General features: G+C 43.6%; 1 long non-coding RNA gene across 1 annotated transcript in view, besides 2 other annotated features; it reads right to left on the bottom strand.

The window, feature by feature from the left end:
* LINC02346 (long intergenic non-protein coding RNA 2346) overlaps positions 1-8063 on the bottom strand; it is a 150761-nt gene extending 142698 nt beyond the window's left edge. The window contains exon 1 of the long non-coding RNA NR_040082.1: positions 7857-8063. This is a non-coding gene — a long non-coding RNA (long intergenic non-protein coding RNA 2346). The remainder of the gene's footprint in view (positions 1-7856) is intronic.
* Positions 11541-12041: an enhancer, noted in NCBI's record as "H3K27ac hESC enhancer chr15:26143529-26144029 (GRCh37/hg19 assembly coordinates)". NCBI's record gives its function as "activates a minimal SCP1, AML or CMV promoter by ChIP-STARR-seq in naive H9 embryonic stem cells {active_cell/tissue: H9 hESC(naive)}" and the evidence as "EXISTENCE:reporter gene assay evidence [ECO:0000049][PMID:30033119]".
* Positions 12042-12542: an enhancer, noted in NCBI's record as "H3K27ac hESC enhancer chr15:26143028-26143528 (GRCh37/hg19 assembly coordinates)". NCBI's record gives its function as "activates a minimal SCP1, AML or CMV promoter by ChIP-STARR-seq in naive H9 embryonic stem cells {active_cell/tissue: H9 hESC(naive)}" and the evidence as "EXISTENCE:reporter gene assay evidence [ECO:0000049][PMID:30033119]".

Here is a 23250-nt window from a genome sequence, read left to right as displayed (position 1 = left end):
CTCAGCCTTCAGAGTAGCTGGTACTACAAGCGTGCAACCACCAGGCCCAGCTGTATTTTTAGTAGAGACTGACTATTATCTCCTTTTTTCCTTCAGTCCTTGACAGTAGGCAAAATGCTATTTTTCTCATTTCCATTTCTATATTTGAAAGATAGAATCTCTTCATATTTATTAAGAGATTGTATTACTTTTGTGTGTGTGTTTCATTCACTTTTTATCCACCGATATTTAAAATATTCAGCATTACCCTTGTGTTTTGCTGGGATTTCTTGAATGAAACATATTCAAATTCTCCACCAATGGAGAAACCTGCTCAGAGCCAGCCAAGGTCCAGCACGGAGTTGGAGCTGACAAGCACGGCGGTGGGTGGGGAGCACCGCAAGTCAGGGTGCTGCAGAGCAGAGGCAGCGGGACTGCTGCGGGGCTCGGCGGGTGAGGAGAGGCACGGAACCCCAGGTGCCTGCGCACCGCTGCGCTCCCCAGTACCCCCATCATCAGCGGAGTGGGAGGGCTGGTCCCTGCTGGGAAAGGAGACGGAGGTTTTCATGCTTTTTGTTTTGTTTTTCTTCTGTTTTGTAGTTTTTTGTAGAGACGGGGTCTTGGTCTCACCATTTTGCCCAGCCTGGTCTCGAACTCCTGGGCCCAAGCGCTCCTCCCGCTTTGGCCTCCTAAAGTGCTTAGAGTCCAGGCGTGAGCCACCGCGCTCTGACAGGAGACAGAGGTTTTCAGACTTTCCTGTGTATCAGAATCACCTGGCCTGCTTCCTAAGACAAATGGCTGGGCCTCCCCACAGAGCCTGGGATTCAGTAGGTCTGGGGTGGGCCAGGAGAAGGAGCCTCCTAACCAGCGCGCAGGGAAAGGCCGCGCAGGGGCTGCGGCGAGGTGGGTCCCGGCGAGGTGGGTCCTGTGCACCTGCCGCGCGCGCACAGCCGCGCCTCGTTCCCTGCTTTCAGGGGCCTTCAAGCTACCCCTCAAGCGAAGAGGCAGTGCCTTCTGAGAAGGGTGTGGGTGCAGGCCATTGTGAGGTGTCAATTCTCTAAGTTCTTCATCTCCCTGCCCGACCCCCGCAGCTGGTTCACACGAAATCACCTTCCACAATGCCTCTCCATGTGACAAAAGCAGGGCTTGTGCCTGGCCCATCCCCAGTCTCAGAAAAGAGTGTAAAAGACAACCGTACCAAGAGACCCTTCTGAATAGAACCCCACGGTAGCTGATGAAACACCTTGCTCCTGCCAAGGCCTCCGCCTTCTGGCCCTGAATACTGTGCTGTCCCTATAAGCCCGGGCGTGGAACCGCCGGAATTCAGCATTGCTACAGTGCAGCTGCAAGAGTGACCTCACCCCTTCCAACCCACCTCCACTCCCCACAAATTACTCTCAAAGGACTCACAGATCCCGAGAGAAGGTCTTACCAGAGCACAGCAAAAAAAGTGTGGAATTCTAAAAATACCTTTTGTTCTTTCCTACTTCATTAGTAGAGATATCATTAGCTAGAAGGAAAAATCTCTCCAAAAAGCAGGAGCAGTGTAGGTTAATGGTGCAGATTCTTTTCGTTGTGAATGGAATGTTTTCTCAGGACCATCGAGATATACAAGACCTGCACATTAATATTTGGTGAGCTTTCCTTCAGATTTCATGTATCATTCAATAAGGAAATCAAACTCATGTGGTCAAATAAGGTTGTAAAATATTCCAATTGCATAAATCCTCACTTTTATTTGATCAGAGAAAATGTTCATTATGCTCTGCCTTTTGTTAATACAAAATAAAAAGTATACCCCAGGGGTTAGACCAAGGACAATTTTGGTCAATTATCTTTTTAAAATGAATTTTTTTTTTTGACATTAAAAAAAAAACTCTAATTATCCTTCAAGCCAAACCCTGGAATCCAGTGCATGCTTGCCTACACATTTACTGAAGTGATATCATGGCTTCTTCTATGCTTTCCACCCATGTACCTCAGTCTAGTTACGTGTAACATTTTATTGTTAGAAATTAAGTGTTGCTGACCAGCATTGTTATCTTGTTTTTACAATTCAATAGTATACATAATGGAATTATATCTCATCGCTATTGTTTTAATCTTGCTATTGGCACTCTTAAAAGACAGATTCGATAATTTATTTCTCAATGTTTTTTGTAATATTCCTCAAATTGCATGTTAACATTTATTTATGTATAAAAATTGTCTATTTTTTTTAACAGAAATTGACTAAGATGTGACAGATGGTTTGACTTTTCAGTGCAACATCTATAAAAGCTAACATGGGATGGATGTGATGCAGAACTGTACCGCCTTCTAACAGCAAGCAATGTTCATCCATGGATACATGAATTAATTGGGAAAGAATTCTCATCTGTTTCATTAAGTGATGCATTCCCAAAACAATTTTAATAATTTTAATAATGATTTTAATGCATTTGTTGTTTTGATCAGTTTATATATATATTATGTGACAGAGAGGTATGACAGAATAATCAATAAAAGACATCAAGAAAAAATCAATATTACAATAAAATTGTGTGGAAAAGTAGAAAAAATAAACATAGAAGGAAAAACAATTTACAGTTGTCAAAGGTTTTGTTTGTGTACTTTTTTTAAGGATGATAGTGTATTTCATATTACTAGAGCACTTATATTATATTGTATACATTTAGGGCATATACATTTACTATGTATGTAGAACATATATTAATATATGTGTTTTATATATATATACACACACATACACATACACACACAGACAGTAATATTGTTTCCAGTTTTCACTTTTAACAAAATTGAATCAAGTAGTCAGATTGAAAATAATTTGTAATGATGGATTATTACATAATTTGGGGCATATAACTCCAAACACACCTAAAGTATTGAATATCGTCATAACATATACGTTATATATACACACACAATTCATACAGTATATGTTATATATACATATATAGCTATATACATATATCACATATTGTGGTAACACATAATCTGTGTGTCTGTGTATATATATATAAAACATATACTGTATTAACGTATTCTATATGTATATATATTGTGTGTATATAAATATATATATAGTTAAAGGTCAATGTTTCCGATATACCAAAATTACATTCTTTTCAGATATTTAAACTTGGGGTGAAACATGTCAACAGCCATCTTTGCAATGTGCAAAAAGGTATACAGTTTTTCAGTGTACTTTTAGGAATTTGCGAGAAAAAGTTTGGAGAGCATTACTGTAACTATGGTGTTTAATTTGAATGGGCATGTTTTTCTGACATACAGAGGTGTACATCTTCTCTATGGTTGAATCCCATGTTTCTTTGTGCCATTACTTTTGCTGCCTTCATGCTTAGCTAGTTCTTCCTCATTCAGTTCTATCTTCTAGGGGTTTTAGTAGCTCCTTGGGAGTGTATTTTAACAGAACAATCTCTGACGTCTCTCACTGATCCCGTTTCCTAGTAACATCAGCACTTACCTTTCTGAGACATTTCTCAATGTCTTCCCACCACAGGCTGCAAGCCTTTGTCCTCTCACTCCTTAAGAGAGTGTCCTGTGACTGTATACCATCTAGCATATTTTTAAGTTGATATTTAACATTTTTATCATACATTGAAATAGTTTCAGCATATGGCATATGTTGACATTACAAAAATTACATGCTCTTTTAAATGTGTCCAGTGGAATCTAAACAGCCTGAAAATTATATACCCACCATCCCCCAAATTTAAAAATGTGTGAACATGGCTGGGCGTGGTGGCGCACGCTGGTTATCCCAGCACTCTGAGAGGCCGAGGTAGGAGGATTGCTTGAGCCCAGGGGCTCCAGAACAACCTCAGCAACACAGCAAGACCTTGTCTCTACAAAATTTGTTTTTTAATTAGCTGAGCATGGCAGAAGGTGCCTGTAGTCTTAGCTACTCAGGAGGCTGCGGTAGGAGGATCACTTGAGCCCAGGAGGTCAAGGAAGCAGTGAGCTGAGATCACATCACTGCACTCCAGCCTGGGTCATAGAGTGAGACCCTGTCTCAAAAAAAAAAAAATGTGTGTGAACAATCTCCTCCTTAAGTATCCATTTTTTCTACTGCAACTCCTGTTTTCATTCCTCTTCCTCCACAGAATTTTATTATAACAATTTCTTATGCTTAAAACTCTTCTGTTCATCACACTATCAGGTTTCTTGCTACAAAAGCTATGTATAAAAACTTACAATTTTAATTTTCTTCAACATGTCTCTAAATGTTAAATAACTTTTTCCAGTTATTGTAAATGATGTATTCCAGTTATCATGGTTATTAACACTCAATTCATGAAGGTAAAATGACTACATTATAACTTGATAATTATTAATAGTGAAAATATACACTTATCAGAAACACATCTTATAACGAGATAAATGGTACTAAAACTGTTTTCAAATTACTTTATGTATCCATGGATGAATATTACTTATCGGTGGCATGACACATGATTCGGTATCAGTTGGATTCCTATTTTTTATATATGTAAGCATGGCGAAAAACGTTTTTACATGAGTAAATACATCTGAATGGAAAGTGTTTTGTTGTAAAGATTCCACTCCTTCTAAGTTATGTGCTGAAAATTACATGAAGATTGATCATAAAAAAATTTTTTTGAGATAGTCTTGCTTTGTCACCCAGGCTAGAGTGTAGTGGTACAATCATGGCTCACTGCAGCCTCAAACTCCTAAACTCAAGGGGTCCTCCCACCTCAGCCTCCTGAGTAGCCAGGATCACAGATGTGTGCCACCACGCCCGTTAATTTTTATTTTTAGTAGACGCGGGGTCTCACTATGTTGCCCAGGTTGGTCTTGAAATCCTGGGCTCAACCAGTCCTCCCACCTCAACCTCTCAAAGTGCTGGGATTACAGGCATGAGCCACTGCACCCGGCCTAAAAATTACTTTTAATGATCTAATCCATCAGTTTATAAATTGACTAGATCCTCTTTCAGTTCATGGAAAGCAAAGAACTAGAACAATCTGACTTGCCAGAAGATTAGTAACACAGCCATTAGTCACTCACTTTCTCACACTTTCCCAACACTGCAAATATCCTCTGGTGGGTGGGCTGTGGCCATGGCCAGGGAGGCCTTCCTCCTCTGGGCTGATGCAACATTGCCCTGGGTGGAAAGATCTGCTTGGGGAGGGAGCTGGGTGCTGTGGAGGAAGGCGGGGAAGAACTGCATCTCCATCAGGGCCTGCCCATGAAGATGGTGTTAGGTTCTGGAACACAGCTTGCTTAACACTGCCTGTGCCCTTGCAAACTTTGTGTCTTGCTGGGGCTTGTAGATCCCAGTTTGCAAATGGTGGCATTGTGTAAATCCCAACTCCCTCAGGCAAGGGCAAAAACACATCACCTCAAACTGTGTTTTGTGCTTTTTTTTTGGCAGGGGGACTAACGTTTTATAATTTATTTATTCATATATTTAGCAAACTGTTATGGAGGCTCCTGTACCACCTGACCCACCCTTCAGCTGAGAGCCCCACTCATGCTGGGTACCCAGGAAACTGCAGGCCTGGCCTGGAAGCTCAGCAGCTGAGTGGCACATTGCAGGGGATGAAAAGCCAGGAGGATAAGGCGGCCTGGGGGGACCCTGAGGGCAAGAACTATGAGATGTCCTCCAGGCGAGAGAGGAAGAAAGCCACTGCGGGGAGGATCGGCCTGGAACCCAGACTGACAGCTCTTCCTTTCCAAACACAGCCCCCAAGAGATGGAGAACCCAGATGGCCCCATTTCCAGACAAACAAATGCCACTGTTTTTGTTCTTTCACAAATCTGGTTCCCTTGACAATTAAAACCAAGTCATAGCTGGGTACAGTGGTGTGTGCCTCTAGTTCTAGCTACCCGGGATGCTGAGGTGGGAGGATCACTTGAGGCCAGAAGTTCAAGACCAGCCTGGGCAACATACTGAGACCCCCATGTCTATAAGAAAGAATAAAATTAGGTTATAGATCATATTTTAATAAACTTGTTTTCAGCACAATGTCTAATTTTAAAAATAAAAATGTGCTCTTAGTAGTCAGACTTGGACTATTGCTGTTGTTTAAAAAAATACACACACCTTTTTCTCAAAAAGAGATGATTCTGAAAGTTTTCCAGCAGGAAACATCTCTAATGTAACTGGAGTTAATGAATGATGACTTAGGTAAAAGACACTTTCTATCCATGCTGCCATGCCAGCCTCCTGGTCCGCCAGGGAGAGCTGTGGCCTGCAGCCCAGGGGTCATGAGGGTGAGCTGGCCCAGGAGGACCACGTGGAATGCTTCACAAGATTGCCTCAGATGGAAGGGCATGGTATAGAAGGCAAATCAGAGGAGGAGTGACATTTTCTGTGGTTATAAGGAAGACAGGTGAGGCCGAGAGCTTGAAGAAGGGCTTGCAGCTGTCCTGACATTAAAAGGCTTGTTCATTATGGGGGTCATGAAGCTGTTTCTCATCTTGCTTGGGCTCTTTGTGGAGGACAGATGTGACACCCTCACATCCTTGAGGCTGGCGTCTCAGATTTTTTGGTGGCGAGTCCCTGAGGCCCACTCGAGTGAGCCAAAGGCAGGAGCCCATGGGATACTTGGCCAGGACCCACATCCCTGGAACCTGGGCTGTGTGGGGCCCTAGACTAAGATCTCTCCTCGACCAACTGCCAGCCAGGCTCCTCTGAGTCCTCTTCTCAACAATACCTCCACGCTGGCCTATAAAGACTTCAGCTAACACTAACATGGCATCTAGCAACTCATGGCCACATCCCTAGGATGACACCAGCCCCCCTTATAGTCCCTACCTCAGGAAACTCAAGACCGCCAAAAAATACCCTGTTCCAGCCAATCCCTGCAGCTACGGCCCCTGTCTCCCGGCCTCTGTGGGACATCAGGAGCTAACTTCGACCAGAGCCAGTTAGCAGCCCAGTGGGGCCGGCCCCTCCTTCCTGGGCTTTGCAATTTCTCACTTCCTGACTCCAGCAAGCCTTCCCTCACCCCTCCCTCCTCCCTTGGAAAAATCCACTCACCTCTGTACACATCCAAGCTGACTTCAGTTCACACTGTAACCTCTTCCCCACTGCAACGGTTATTACTGTGAAAAATCTCTCCTGACCCTCTCACTACTGCCTGGCTTTGTTTGTCTTTGACACTCTGGGTTCAGGTAGGACAGGGTGTGCCCGGCCACAGCCCCCTCAGTAACTCCAGGCTGGCCCACTTCCTGCCGTGTGTGAGGTTTTGGAGTGGCAAGTTTGTTCTGCTTTGTTTCATGGTTTTCAGTCCCTCCCAATATCCCCTGGCCTGTGGTCACCACAGTCAGCCCAGGCCAGCAACTGACCCAGGCTGGAGGTTAACACCACGGAGCTGCCCACACGTGTGTGCCCGAGTCCCTGCCCATGCCTCAGCAATGGTCACAGGCTTCTCACCTCCATTCAGCCCCCCTATTTGGGGCCCTACCTTTAGCCAGCTAGCCAAGTGCTCATTGTAACCCAGTATTTGTATTCATTCACCATAGAAAATTTGTCAAATGGGTAATGCATTTCTTTTTACCCGCCTCTTAGTGACTGGGCTTATGATCAGAATCAAGTGCTATTTTGTGGCCACTGGCCCCTCATTGGCCCCTTCCTCAAACCCATGCTGGATCTGGAGTGAAATGCCCTCAGGTTGACCCCTGCTCGGAGCCCAGGCCAGGTGAGACCGGCTGGTGGGTGCACTTGGAGATCACACCCCAGCTGCTCAAGGGACACTTTGAGCTAGAGCAACATGCATCAGTGTGCACAGAGCCCTTCCTGTGCACCCGCACTGCAACTAGAGCTTTCTAAGAATTGTCTCACTCCATCCCCAAGAATTGTGTGGCTGGGGGGATATGCTCACCCACATTTTGCAGATGGCAGAGAGTCTTGCAGAGCTGCCAGCGTTCCTGAGGCTCACACAGCCAGCCATGTTGGGGCGGATGCTCCGGCCTCTCGTCTGGCTCCAGAGCGAGGCAGCGCCTTGCAGCACATTCCCAACAATTTCCTCATTGGGAGGCTTCCTAGGAAACCAGCCTCCCTGCATATGTGGACACTGCGATGCATCAGCCCTATGCCTGCTTCCTCCCAAGCTGAAGGCACCCACTCATGAACCGCCCTTGATATGCCAGGGCATCTTACGCTGCACTGGGTTCCTATTTATGTGTAACCACATTTCACTACCTAAACAATGCCTGTTTATTATCTCATGGTTCTGGTAGATCAGGACTGTAGACAGCCTTGAGCCGAGTCCTCTGCTGAGAGTCTCCCAGGCTGAAATCCAGGCATCAGCACAGGCTGCAGGCTCATCTGAGGCTGGGGATCCTCTTCCAGCTCACTGGTGCTTGGCAGGATCCAGCTGGGCTGTAACACTGAGGTCTGTATATTCTTGCTGGCTGTCAGCCAGGGGTCACTCCAAGCTCCTAGAGGCCACTCTCACATTTGGAGAGTGTCAATCAAAATATGACTGGGCAGCGGCTCACACCTGTTCTCCCGGTACTCATAGAGGCAGAGGCAGGAGGATCGCTTGAGCCAGGAATTCCGGACTTGCTTGGGTGGCATAGGGAGACTGTCTCTACAAAAGGAAAAAAAAAAAAAAAAGAGCAAAATATGGCAGCTGACTTCCTCAAGGCCAGAAGGAGGATGTCTATTGCTGCCTCTTGTCTCCTTTAAGGGATCACCCGATTAGGTCAAGCCCACTCAGGATAATCTCCTTTTTATTGACTCAAAGTGAACTGATCAGGGACCTTCACTACATTTGCAAAGTCCCTTTTTGCCTGTTCACACTGAAACCCTGTTGTCTTCACAGGAGTATCCCACACTCAAGGGGAGATGCTATTCAGAGTATGTACATGAGGGTGGGGACTTTGGGAACCATGTTACAACTCAGCCTACCGCACTCCCCATTATCAAATTCTCCCAGTCCCTCTTCCTGAGGCCAAACCTAATGCTGGAATTCCTCACCCCTCCCTGGACCTCAGAATAGTGAACTTCACTCTCACTTAAAAACAAGGACAACTAAATGACAGACCTGGTATTGTAGAAACTCAGGAGACTGTATTGCCTTCATGCACCAACTGGTGACAGGAATACGTGGATCTGTGAGTCAAAAGGGTACACTCCACTTAGACTCATGGAGGACGGGCACCTTCTCCCCACCCAGGCCCAGCTCCACATCGTTCTCACACTGTCACTGTCAGACTGACCTCTGCCCATTCAAAGCATTGCACATAAGCTTGGGCATAGCTTGCTTGCTTGTGAGGACTGAAGTTTGTCCAGACAGATGAGGCTTTGCTCAACACCTTGGCTCCAACCATGTCACATGGATCCTCCTCCACATTCAGCATTGCAGATTGGCTGAATTCCAAATGCCTCACAACTAGGGCAAAGGAAAGGCAGGCCTTCTGAGACAGAAGGGAGACAGTGAGTTATCACAGGGCAGCTCACGTAATAGGTATGAGCCATCCATGAGAGTGGTTGCCCACTCCTAGAGAACAGAGGGAAACGGTGAACAAGACCGGACTCCCAACTTGCACTATTCAACAAGAACCCACGAGAACTGTGCCGCGCTTAATTGAGTATTCCTGCCTCCCCGGCAGCCATCAGCTAGCATGCAACTTTAATCTGTCCTATTAACTGATGTCTGCATGTGGTGAAGGAAGAAATTCACATGGTTCAGAAGGGCCATCAGTGAAATCACAGGCCTTCTCACTCCACTGAGGTAACCACTGTCCGTAGCTTCTGGCTCCAGTTCTTCTGTGAGTTTCCATTTATGTCTTTTTCAAGTAAGTCCTGAGAGATTTCCCCAGCTTTAGCTTCCAGATTTGCAACTTGGTGTTCAGCCATTTCCAATTTATTATCCTGCTCTAACCTTTGGCTCATGTTTCATTTATCATGTTTCAAAATTCCAAGAACACATTATATTTCTCTAAAACTCCTTTTACACAGCAGTCCATTGTCATTTTAAGGCTGTATCTTCCTGTAGTGTGTGTGTGTGCGTGTGGTGTGTGCGTGTGTGTGTGTGTATACACAGTCACTTGTCACTTAACAACAGGGATACACTCTGAGAAATGCTCATTAAGTGATTCTGTCATCCTGCAAACTTCATAGATAAACCTGGATGGCATAGCATCCAACACCCCTAGGCTGTATGGGACGGCCTATTGCTCCTAGGCTACAAACCTATACAGCATGTTACTGTACTGAATACTGTAGGCAGTTATAACACAATGGTAAGTATTTGTCTATCCAAACATATCTAAACATAGAAAAGATACAGTAAAAATGTAGTGTAAAAGATGAAGAATGGGACACCCGGATAAGACAATTACCATGAATGGGGCTTGCAGGACAGGGAGTTACTCTGGATGAGTCAGTGAGTGAGTGGTGAGTGAATGTGAAGACCAGGACATTACTGTAGAATACTATAGACTTTAGAAACACTGTACACTTAGGCTGCATTAAATTTATAAAAAATATTTTTTTCTTCAGTAACAAACTAACCTTAGCTTTCTGTAACATTTTTACTTTACAAACTTTTAAATTTTTAAAAACTTTGGACTCTTGTAATAACACCTTAAAACACAAACACAAAATATGTTGTTTCTTTATATTCTAATACTCTAAGCTTTTTTTTCTATTTAAAAACTTTTTAAAAACCTTTTTAAACTCTCTCGTTAAAAGTTAAGACACAGCTAGGTATGCTGGCTCACACCTATAATCCCAGCACTTTGGGAGGCCAAGGCAGAAGGATAGTTTGAGTCCAGAAGTATGAGACCAGCTTGGGCAACATGGTGAAACCACATCTCTATAAAAAATACAAAAATTAGCCAGGTGTGGCAGTGTGCACCTGTGGTCCCAGCTATTCAGGAGGCTGAGATGGGAGGATTGCTTGAGCCCAGGAGGTGGAGGTTGCAGTGAGCTGAGCTAGCACCACTGCACTCCAGCCTGGGCAACAGGGCAAGAGCCTGTCTCAAAAAAAAAAAAAAAAAATGAAGACACAAACAGACACATTAGCTTAGGCCTACACAGACTCAGGATCATCGATATCACCACCTTTCACCTCCATATCTTGTCTACTGAAAGGTCTTCAGGGGCCATGACATGCATGAATCATGGCCGAGATCGCCCAATGCACTTCAACCTGGGCAACAGAGTGAGACCCTGTCCCAAAACATTAAAATATATATATATAAAAAATAAGGCCTTCTTCTGGAATACCTCCTAAGGGACTGCCTGAGGCTATTTTACAGTTAACTATTTTTTTTATAAGTAGAAGGAGTACATTCTAAAATAAAAAGTATAGTAAATACGTAAGCCAGTAACATAGTCTTTCTCAAGTACTTAGTCTTTACTATCAAGTACTTGGTACTGTATGTGATTGTATTGCTATACCTTTACGAGACTGGCAGTGCAGTAGGTTTACTTCCACCAGCATCACCACAAACACATGAGTAATTGCACTGCACTAAGACATTAGGATGAGTATAATGTCACTAGGAAACAGAAATCTTTTAGTGCCATTATAAACTTATAGGACCACGGCTGTGTTCATCACTGAACAAAATGTCATTATATGACATGACTCTGTGTGTGTGTATATATATATATATATATATATGAGTGTATATATATATATATATATGAGTGTATATATATATAGGGCATGTATATATACATGTAATATTAATATAAACAATTATATTACACACATGCACTCAATTAATATCTGTGTCCAGTGAAGTTTCCCCTGTTCTCTGGATTCCTTCTTGATCTTCCTCCCTTGTTTGTAGTTTTCCTCACTCTTCAGGTTTTCTTTTGAGGACTGCAGAGTTTGGTACAGGTGGTGAGGAGGGCGGAACCCTCTGGCAGTCAGGTCAGGCAAGGTGCGCTGGCGGAGGGTGGGCTGTGGGAGCCTTGTCCCCAGCGCAGTCAGCTCTGCCCCATCAGGACCAAGGGCAAAGGGTGGAAAGCAAGGACCCAGCACCTTCTGTGAGCCCACACAGTGATTCACCAGATCCCCCCACCACTCCTGCTCTTTGCCTTGAGAGACCTCAGCTTGTTTCTCATGTCTCCCAGGGAAAAACCCTGCTGACCTTCTTACATTCAGACTACAGTTTACCTCCTGCTCAAACACTCAACCCCACTCTCAAGGTCCTCTCACGATTTCCTCAAAATTCATGGCCCACGGATGCCCCTTTTCTGTGTTCCAGCATCTGTGTGTTTTCTTTCTTTTGAAAGTCTCTTTTCTGTCATTTCAGTGGGACTCCTGGAGGAGAGGACAGAGCTGCATGGGTCCTGCCCACTGTGGCCATCATTGTCTCTGCACCCACTGCCTCTACCCACCTTGTCTCTTCAGAGCTGGGGCTTGTGTGTTCACTGAGGGCTTAGACACCCTCTTGCATTCAATGGATGGAAACCCCATGCCTTCCCTGGGGAAGCAGAGACCATGGCCTGCATGAGGTTCTCAGTACTCAGAGTACCTATGGTGAACACAGAGGCCAGGCCCCACTTTCAGAGATGCTGATCCAAGAGGGTTAAGATGGACCTGGGACTTCAGCCAGGGTGCATGGTGATGCAATGGCAGGACTCTGACCACTGTCACACAAGGCTGTTCAGTAGCAAAGAGGCCCAGGTCTGATCCACCTCCATTACTTACTTACTGTGTGCCCTTGGGGGAATCTAGCTCAATCTCCAAGCTGTAGAAAGGAAAGTAGGGTGGTCCCTACCTTCTGGGTTTGACTGGATGATTAAATGGTAAAATGCAGCACAAGAAAGAACATAGCACATGGAATGTGCTAAGTGGATGCTAGCTATTAAAATTACCACCTACACAATTGCGTGCACCCCAAGGTTCCCATGCTTCGGGCTGGTTTTGGCAGGTTTCCCCAGGTATTGAGGTTGGAGGCCACTTCTAGGGTGTCCTCAGGAGCCAGTGGAGCGTGAAGGACAGTCTCTTCCTTCATGAAGGCCTCTGGCTCAATGCCGATGGACCCTTCCTGATGGCTCTTCCTGGTCTTTCAGACTCCTCCGTGGATGGCAGCCTGTCTGCAGTTAGTGCTCTTTTATTTTTATATTTTTGTAGAGGCGAGGTCTTACTATGTTGTCCCAGGCTGGTCTCAAATGTTTTTCCTCAAGGTACCCTCCTGTCTCAGCCTCCCAAAACGCTGGTATGACAGGTGCGAGCCACTGCACCCAACCAAGTCGTCAATTTCTGCAGTAGGCAGAATACTTCCCTCTAACTCTCTCGGATAATTTTTCTATTTCTCATCTATTATTCTTGGGAAGACTAAATGCCAAATATATTAGAATTTTGCCCAAATTAGAAGAAAAGGCAGAGTGGCTACTGAGTCCTTTATTGTATTGTATGATTGGATCAGGTGAATGTTGTGGTTGGGGCCACTCAGCCCTCATTCTTATCCCTGAGTGCACTCTCTTTTCTGGGTGACTTTGCAGGAGGATGTGCTCCAGAGAGTACCTTGCATCAACCCAGAACCAAATAAACAATTGTTCTGTTTCTTTTTGTTTTCTTTCTTTTTTTCTTTTCTTTTTTTTTTTTTTCCACTGCAATGGAGGCTTGCAATGAGGGAGAGAGACTGGACTTAATGACCAAATATTTTTTGTAAATATCTGTCCTTGGTAACAAGAGCTTTCATTTGCTGTGAGAAAAAAGAAATAAAAAGTCATGGTGTTAGGAACACTGATATACAACTAGAGATGTAAGGACATCTTCAACACAAGGAAGAGTTGGATAATAATTCCAAAGATTCCCAAACAGCCCATGATTGCTGGATTCAGAACTGGGCCCATGGAGAGAACAGAGATCAAGACCAGAGCTCTAGCTGCTGCCAAAATGAGCAACAGGAGTTTTCTCCACTTTGAAAAGATGTGAAGATATCAGCTGGTGATAAATCAGGTGATTGAGATAAAATGGAAAATTTTCCTTTCTAATCTAACAGGAGTGTCAATGGTTGGAAAAGAAAGCTGATATGGAATATCAATGTAGGTGGGTCAAAGTTCATCTTGATAAATATCAAAGGGAAAAATGACCTTGATTTAAATTGTTGGTACATAACACTTCAAAGGAGAAAGGTGGTTGCTTCAAAGTACCCCCTTTATTATTTTATCCTGCTGTGGAACTGAAAGATGAAAACATCATTGTAACAAAATAGATGTCAATTTAAATAATGTCTACTCTGGAAAACATGATCTTATCAAAGAAAAAGAAGGAGGGAGGGAGGAAGGGAGGAAAAGGAAACACTAAGCACAGTGATTCTGAGAATCAAGGAGATTATTTCCTTCTGGCACAAATGCAAAAACATGAGATTATTAAAAATTAGATTACTATGGAACAATTTGTTTCCAATTCATCTTTGCTGTTATCTCAGTTCATATTTTAATGACATTGCAGGGAAAATTGAGTGGTTTATCTCTCTTTTAAAAATTTTATGATGCACCCTCCCCGGTCCCATGTGAGTCTGACTTGGACGCAGCAGGGGCTTCCTCACATTGCAAGTCTACAAGGAACACAGAAGGAACTCTCCTTGGACCACAGAGCCCAGTGGTGCTGGCATGGCTTGCCGCCTATGTTATACCCGATGGCCACCTGGGGTTGGCTCTAGTATTGCAGACCATGGGCACCCTGGCTACCAAACACTCCTCCCCAGCAGCATTGAGATCAGGAATGCGGTTGCCACCTGGCAGTGAGACCAGGAGAGGCTGCCCTGTTAGGAGAGTTGAAGTAACTTTAGTTCAGATACTGAAAGTTTTTCAGAAGTCTTTTCCAAAAGAAACGACTTCTCAATATTTCTATCATTCTTACAAATGTGCTTTTGGATGCTGATTTAGAATCAAGCTTCCTTGCAATTATTTTGTTCTCAGCTCTACCATGTGTTGGACTCAATAGTACTCCCACCTGTTACATAGTTCACTTGAGCTATTGGTATGATGCTTATTAAACATAATAATAATAATATTCCTCTGACCCCAACAATGTTTAAAAAGAATTATATCCCACAGCCAAGTGGGATTTATCCCAGGTATGCAAGGCCACGTCAACATTTAAAAGTCAATTAATATAATCCATCACATCAACAGGCTAAGAAGAAAAATCTCATGATTGTATTATAGATGCAGAGAAAGTATTTGACAAAATCCAATACTCATTCATGATTTTAAAAAAACCCTCAGTATACTAGGAATAGAGAGGAACTTCCTCAACTTGGTAAATAATATCTACAAAAAGCCTACAACTAACATCATAGTTAATGGCAAGAAACAAGAAGTTTTTCCACTAAGTTCAGGAAAAAGGCAAGGATGTCCCCACTCACCACTGCTTTTCCGTATCATCCTGGAAGTCCTAGCTAATGCAATTAGACAAAAAAATAAAATAAAGGTATACACATTAGGAAAAAACTTCTGAGACTAGTGAGTGATTATAGCAAGGTTGCAGGATATAAGGTAAATGTACAAGTGGAATTTGAGATAATAACACTCTTTGTGATCATTTCAATTTGAATTCCCAGTGCTTAAATTAACATGCAACTTTTCTTTGTTTTCTAGTTGTAAAGTTTCATCTTTCTGTTTTCTTCAGCTGTTCTCTGACCCTGCCCTGTCTGCCATTCCAAGCCCAAGGCCCGGGAGCACAGTGAGCGAGCAGGTCCCTCTTCCTTGCCTGTCCCATCCTCATGGAGAGCACACATCACTCTGCAAGAGCTCCAGGCTGTGCTTAGCCAGTCACAGCTGCCCTGGGAAACAATTACAGGTAAAGCAATAATTTGCTTATAGTTTTTAGTGAAATGTATACTTCTGTGATTAATAAACAGAAAATGTGAGGGTCAAATGCAATAAACTCTTGTGGTTTGGAACACCATATTTCCTCTTGGGAGAGAAGGAAATTAAGAACTTTTTTTTCCTCTAATTACACAACAGTAAAAAATTGATTCCCTTTGTTGTAGTGAGGGTTGGTGGGGAGGGCAGCAGGGAAGGCAGGCTTTGAGAATTTTAAAGCATAAAAGATGACATTCCTATAAAGGATTGCCACTTTTTGTCACGTGATAACATAAACATAGCATTTGGAATTAATACAGTAACAAAACTATGTTAGTTGCACCTAGATCAGCTCACAAATTCTAATAGTATTACACTCCAATTCTCTAGAAGTGCTGCATGAAGAATCCAAGCTAGATATAAATTTACTAATTTAACTTTATTTTAAAGAACACCAGGGTGAGGTTTTCTACTTTGAACATGTACCAGGTTAACTTGGAGTATGAGGCTCTAAGGATCCCAAGTAGTTGGCGATGTTTTTAACATATTTTTAACTGAAATAATGAAGAATCACTTATTACAACTGAAATAAACTAATCCTAACTGTTTCTATATACATTAACTGTTACCGATGTTTATCTCCCTCCTGCCCCAAGATTTCAAAGACTCATTATTCCCATAGCTGTAAAAATCCCAAATGTCTTATGTTCTCCCATCTTCTGAGTCCAGCCCTCGTTTTCAGTCTCATTTCCTGTGGTGTCTATGGCACCCCCTTTCTACCCCAACATCATTTGTTCCAGCACCAAGACTCATCACTGTTCCACAGACCCATCACACGCCTCCTTGCCTTCTGCTCTTCACACATGGCATTCCCTGTCTGGCTTTTTCTCCTCCACACAGCCTCTTACAGCTACTAGAATCCGATAACTCTTCAACGCCAATCGCAAATGCCACCTCCTTGTCAAAAGCTTTGAATTCCAAGTGAACATCTTCTTCTTCTGTTCCCCCTTGAAATAGGATTCCAATCTAGCATTGATCACATTCATTCTTTTAATATAATTCAGCATTTTACTGGACCTTGGCAATGTATCTAGCTCCAGCACATATGTTTAGGCACATACTATTAAACAGTCCCTGCCCTCTAGTAACTTAGGGTTTCTTCCTTGTGTTGTAATACTTTGTGTTCATTCTTCATTAATTTTAAGGCTACCTAGGGCAGTACTTTTCAACTTAGCTTTATGCCTAGGTTATTGACCAACGGTAAAGGAAGTCAGGTATAAATGCAAATTAACTCACACCCAGGAGGCTGCTCTCTGCACCTGTGGGATTCCACACACTCTGCCTTCAGAAAGCAACCCAGTAATTATAGAAGACCTGAATGTACAAGTTGATCATAATGTTCATATGGAAATATAAACAAGTAAAAATCACCAGAAAAACTCTGGAAGAAATAACAAAGGACTAGCCCTGCCAGATATTAAAACATAGAATTCTTTCTTTTTTTTAGGTGATGCTCATTCATTTATTTCTCATTTTATCCTCATCACACTGGGCTGGGAGAGGAGGAGTCACGCACCAGTGTATAGATTGTGCTATTGCCTTGCTTTGAGGCAGAATTGAGATCCAGGTTCTAATTGTCTCCAAGTTTCTAGCTGGGACAACAGCAGGAAACAGGCAGGGGGCTGACCCTCAGGCTCATGTTCCAGGACTCCCATCTGGGTACCTGAGGATGCTCCACGGAAATCATGCATGGGGGCCGACAGCAGCCCCTTAAAGCAATGGGGATGACAGACCCGGAACTGATAACAGGAGTTGCAGGAACAACCACATATGCACAGAGAGGACCTGAAAAGACCTTGTCCTTCCATCTGTATCCCAGAATCCTGGCAGGGCCTCTCCATGAGGACAGGGCCAGGGCTGGCTCCTTGGCCCATGGCTGGTCTCATGAGTGGCCCAGAGTGAGTCCTGCTCTCTCCAGCATCTGTAGACTGTAGACATTGTTACCAGCTCCTGCTGGTGCCTCTCTGCTTGAGGTGCTGGGCAATTGTCTTGGACCATTCACGATCCTCTTCCTCAAATCTTCACACTCAAGAAATCTCCATTCTTTTAAGAAACACTGGATCTCCTGGTCACTCTAAGTTTTAACTGACTGCATCTGTTGGTTTTTCTGGTTCCTTGGTTTCTTTTTCCTTCTTTACTTCCTGGGGTTTTCTAGTAATTTCCGCCTGAATTCTCACTGTCTCCACTTTGATTCCTGAGTTTTTTTTGTGCAGCCACAGGGTCTAAAAGCACAGGCAGAGAGTTGGCACAGCCTGTGCTCTGCTGGAATTCAGGTGAGTCAGGAGTGCCTGAATGGAAAAATGTGTTTGCTCCTCTATACTCCCAGCCAGCTCTCTATGAAGCTTCCTTAATTAAAGGAGTGTGGTATTAGCAAATAAAAGGACGGCAGACCAGCGAAAGAATGTAAAGGCCTGAAATACAGCCAGGTACACATGGAGATAGAGCAAATGATACAGACCCTAAGTCAGCAAGTAAAAGATGGAACCCTCAAATAAATATTTTTGGGACAAATAGATAGCTATTTAGAAGTAACATTCAATCCATTCCTCACTCTCCACACTAGAATAGTATATGACAAATGTAACAAAAATCTAAATGTAGACCAGGTGCAGAGGCTCATGCCTGTAATCCCAGCACTTTGGGAGGCCGAAAAGGGAGGATCCCATGAGGGCAGGGGTTTGAGGCCAGCCTGGGCAAAAAAGTGAGACCCTGTCTCAATTTAATATATTTTTAAAAATCTAAATGTGGAATATTGAGACTATCTAAATTCTAGAAGAAAATATAAGTAAACTTCTTTATCATCCGGAGTAAGAAAATCTCCCTAAATATGGCTCAAAATTCGAACTTCCTAATTATGACTCAAAATTCAAAATGTATGAGCTTCAAGTCAGTGACAAGTAAGAAAAAAAATTGGAAATAAAGTAGAAATTCAAATTTTAGAAGCAATAAAAGACCAATAATAGAAAGATGGGCAAGACGTCTAAATAGAGAGTGAGCTCCCAGGGGGAAAAATGTAAATAGACCTTAAACATATGAAAATATGATCAATCTCAAACAAAATAGAAAAAAAAAACAAATTAAAACTAAACTGAGATACCATTTCTCACCTACCAGGTTGACAAAAATGCAAAACACTAATGACAAATGATGCTGAGAGGCCCTGGGAAGCAGGCATCCCCAGATATTGGGGGCGGCACTGCACAACGGTGAGCAAAACTGCATATACGCTTACTCATGACCCTGCAAACACACCTCCTGGAATCTAACTTCAAGCTACATTTGCAAAAATGTGAAAACATATAGGCAAAAGGGTGTCTACTCACTGCAGCCAAAGGCCAGCCAGAGACAGCCCACATGTCAAAACAGCAGGAAACTGATGGAATACATGACGTGGGCAATGCAATTGTAAAAAGGAAAGAGGAATCTGGGCAGGGGTTATGTTGGGGTTCTTATATTATTCTCTTGAGTTTTGTATTTCTTTTTTAAAAAAAGTATCAAAAAATGTTAAATTCTGCACCCAGCCCCCTACCCCAAGGGAGATGGGCCCTGATAGAAAGTCGGGGCATCTTTCATGAACACAGAGATCTGAGGATGGCCTGTGCCTCTTCAGGAGCTCACAGCAGCCTTCTACTTGAGGAGTGTTAATAGAGTTTCTAAAGTTTGAAAGTCACTGCTGTATAAGACTTATGCCTGGCTACTTTACAGAGCAATATTTAGTTGCCATCGCAATTCTTTTCCACTCTTCAAATTTATGAGCCTGGCTGCTCTTCAGACTTCCCCTGGCTGCATCCACTTCAGTTGGCATTGTCTCTGGCTGCCGGCATGCAACTGCAGTGAAATGCGTTGCTACAGCTTGCGTTACCTCTTGCCTTTTCAGTACTGCATAGTCCCAAAGTCTCTCTCTCTGAGCCCTTAGGAAGCACTGCTCATGGGAGCTAGGGCATTACTAGGACTGCTAGATGTCTTTCACAGCCAAAACACACAGCCTCCACAAAATCCCCACCCACTCGCCCCTGGCACTGTAAAGCAACCATGCAAATGAATATATGAAATGGGTAAAAGCTTTGTGTCCAGACAAACATGTGCACAGGGATGTTTATAGCAGCTTTATTCATAACTGCCAAAACTAGGAAGCAACCACCATGTCCTTCAGCAAGTGGATGGCCAAATAAACTGTGGTACATTCAGAGAATGCAATATTATTCAGTAGTAAAATGAAATGAGCTATCAAGCCATAGAAACACATGGAGGAAAGTGACACGTATGTCACAGAGTCAAAGAAGCCAATCTGAAGAGGCTACCCACTGCATGGTTCCAACTGAACGACATTCTGGAAAAGGCAGAACCATGGAGACAGGAAAGTGATCGGCATTTCCTGGGGGCTAGAGGAGAGAGAGGGATGGATAGGGGAGCACAGAGGATTTTTAGGGCAATGAAACTACTCTGTACAATACTGCAACGGCGGATACAGGGCATTATACATTGGTCCAAACCCACACAATACACAACACCAAGAGTGAAGCATAATGTAAGCTGTGGTCTCTGTGTAATAATGATGTATCAATGTGGCTTCATCAATCATAAAGAAATGTGCCACTCTGCTGGAAATATGGACGGTAGGGGAGGCTATGCTTGTGTGGGGGCGGAGAAGATGTTGGGACCCTCTGCTCATCTTGCTGTGAACCTAAAACTGCTGTAAAAAGATAAAATATTTTTTTAAAATGAGATTTTATTGATAAATAGAACGTGCTAGAGAAATTGTTATGTGCCCATTAAGTGGGAGGTATGTTATGCAGAAATGCCAGCCACATAATTTGACCCTCTCATGATTTCTTATTCCTGCAAAGACGGATGTGGCTCATAGCTTGGTCCACCCAGTGCAGGAACGATATGAATAAGTATTTCCATTCTAGCCTAAATGCCTTCCCCATAATGCTTCCAAATCCTTTATTTCCTTTCCCAACTCAAAAGCAGTAAATTGAAGGTAGCAATTTTAGGATCCTATCTGAATTTTCCACCTAACTAACTTTTCTTTTTTCTTAAATCTTGGCAGCTTATGAATCCGCACACATTCCTCTGCCTTGGAGACCTTAAAAAGATTCTAGCGGTCGGGTGCGGTGGCTCACGCCTGTAATCTCAGCACTTTGGGAGGCCAAGGCAGGTAGATCACGGGGTCAGGAGATAGAGACCATCCCGGCTAACATGGTGAAACCCTGTCTCTACTAAAAATACAAAAAATAAGCTGGGCGTGGTGGCAGGCGCCTGTAGTCCCAGCTACTCCAGAGGCTGAGGCAGGAGAATGGCGTGAACCCGGGAGGCGGAGCTTGCAGTGAGCCGAGATCCCGCCACTGCACTTCAGCCTGGGCAACAGAGCGAGACTCCGACTCAAAAAAAAAAACAAGATTCTAGTGACATAATAAATTCTGCCTTATTTCCACCCAAGATCAAAAGCTCTTTACACTTAGTTCCACAGGAATGTGGGGGCAGCAGGTGACCTTAGCGGTTGACGTGAATCTCTCAAAGGCTGGCCGCCTCAGAAGAGATCAAGCCTTAGATCTTCCTTCCCCTGCATGCGACTCTGCCGCCAAGTCTCAGGAGGGCATCTGTACTCACATTTGCAAAAGGTCAGCCGAGCGTGATGGCTTGCACCTATAGACCCAGCTACTCTGGAGACTGAGGCTGGGGGTCACATGAGACCAGGAGTTTGAGACCAGCCTAAGCCACACAGTGCGACCTGTCTCTAAAAAAAAAAAATTGTTTTAAATTAGCAAGCCATGGTGGCATCCATGCGCGTGTAGTCCCAGCTACTCAGAAGACTGAGGCGGGAGTTTGCTTGAGCCCAGGAGTTCAAGACTGTGGTGAGCTAGGATCAGGCCTCTGCACACCAGCCTGGGTGTCAGAGAGAGACCCTATCTCTAAAAACAAACAAACAAACAACAACAAAAAAAACTTGCAAAAAGTCAGGATGGGCATGGAGAGAAGGCACTGGCAAGGAGGTGGCTCCCTACAAGTTTCTTACATCTTCCCTTATACCCTAAATCCTGCCCTCTTTTCCTCCTACCTGGATAATGATTTTCTTCCTTTGGCCTCTCTGATGTACATCCCACCCTCAATATCTTCCCTTTAGTCTACTTTCCATTATGAAAACCTGGAAAGGAAAGAAGCTTCAAAGTCAAAATCCCCTAGTATTCAAAATTGTTTAGGAACCATGAAGTACCAATTTTCCCCATCAGATAAGCAAAAGAGACAGATGGATAGTATCTTATAGGTTTGGACGTAGGGAAATAGCTCACTCCATGCAGTGGCAGATACAAACTCCATGCAGTGGCACAGCATTTTGGAAGGGCTCTTTGGAAGGACTGCACCTATTCAAATTCAAATGCATGTTTCCTTGACTGAGATACCAGTTCTAGGAATCTAGCCTATATCAATTCAGTCAGTGCCAAAGGTATACGTGTAATGTATGTTTTGAGTCATATTGTTTGCAATAGAAAACCACTTATATGATCGAAATACTTATCAGTATGTCACTGGTCAAGAAGGTTTTGAAAACACTTTGCTAGAGAATGCAACAGAGCTACCACAAAGGGTAAGATCCAAACAGCCTGCAAAGAAAGATTTTCTATATTGTGCTTCTGCTGTTATACGATAAGCAAAGACCAGGGTCACATGTTTCTTTTGTAGTTTAGCCATATGGACTCCCAAGGTGTAAACACCACCCCCCATGGAGTCATGGCATCAGACTCCTCAGCAACCTCAAGGACAGGTTTCAGAGTAGCAACTGGACTGCGTCTCACATCCTTGCCTCAGCCCAGTAAAGGTCTTCCTGCAGAATCTTACCCTGGCTCACACCTCTTTTCATTCCAAAATACAAAGAAGATCCATGATTCCATCTCAGATCAAATCTAGAAAATAACAGTTATACATTGAGGCCAAAAAAAAGAAAGAAAGGATAAATATTTAAAAAACAAAAATATAGAGGACAGGCTAGATGCAGTGGCTCACGTCTGTAATCCCAGAACTTTGGGAGGCTGAGGCAGGAGAATTGCTTGAGATCAGGAGTTTGAGACCAGCCTGGACAAGAGAGCAAGACCCTGTCTCTAGAAAAAAAAAGAAAAAAGCCAGGTATGGTGGTGAGTGTCTGTGGTCTCAGCCATTCAGGAGGCTGAGGTAGGAAGATCTCTTGAGCCCAGGAGGTTGAGGCGGTAGTGAGCCAAGATCACACGACTTACTGCACTCCAGCCTGGGCAACAGAGAAAGACCTTGTCTGAAAAAGGAGGGATGGAAGGAAGGAAGGAAGGGAAGGCAAGGGAGGGGAGGGGAGGGGAGGGAGGGAAGGAAGGAAGGAATAAAGGAAAGGAAAGCTCACTAAGGAACCAATAATGAGGAAAGTGTGAGCACAGCTAACATTCAAGAACAACAGCCGTTTG

Source organism: Homo sapiens, chromosome 15 (genome assembly GCF_000001405.40).
Source record: "Homo sapiens chromosome 15, GRCh38.p14 Primary Assembly".
Classification (NCBI taxonomy): Eukaryota; Metazoa; Chordata; class Mammalia; order Primates; family Hominidae; genus Homo; species Homo sapiens.
The sequence above is the reverse complement of the archived record's forward strand: the minus strand, read 5'-3'. Positions and strand labels throughout refer to the sequence as shown.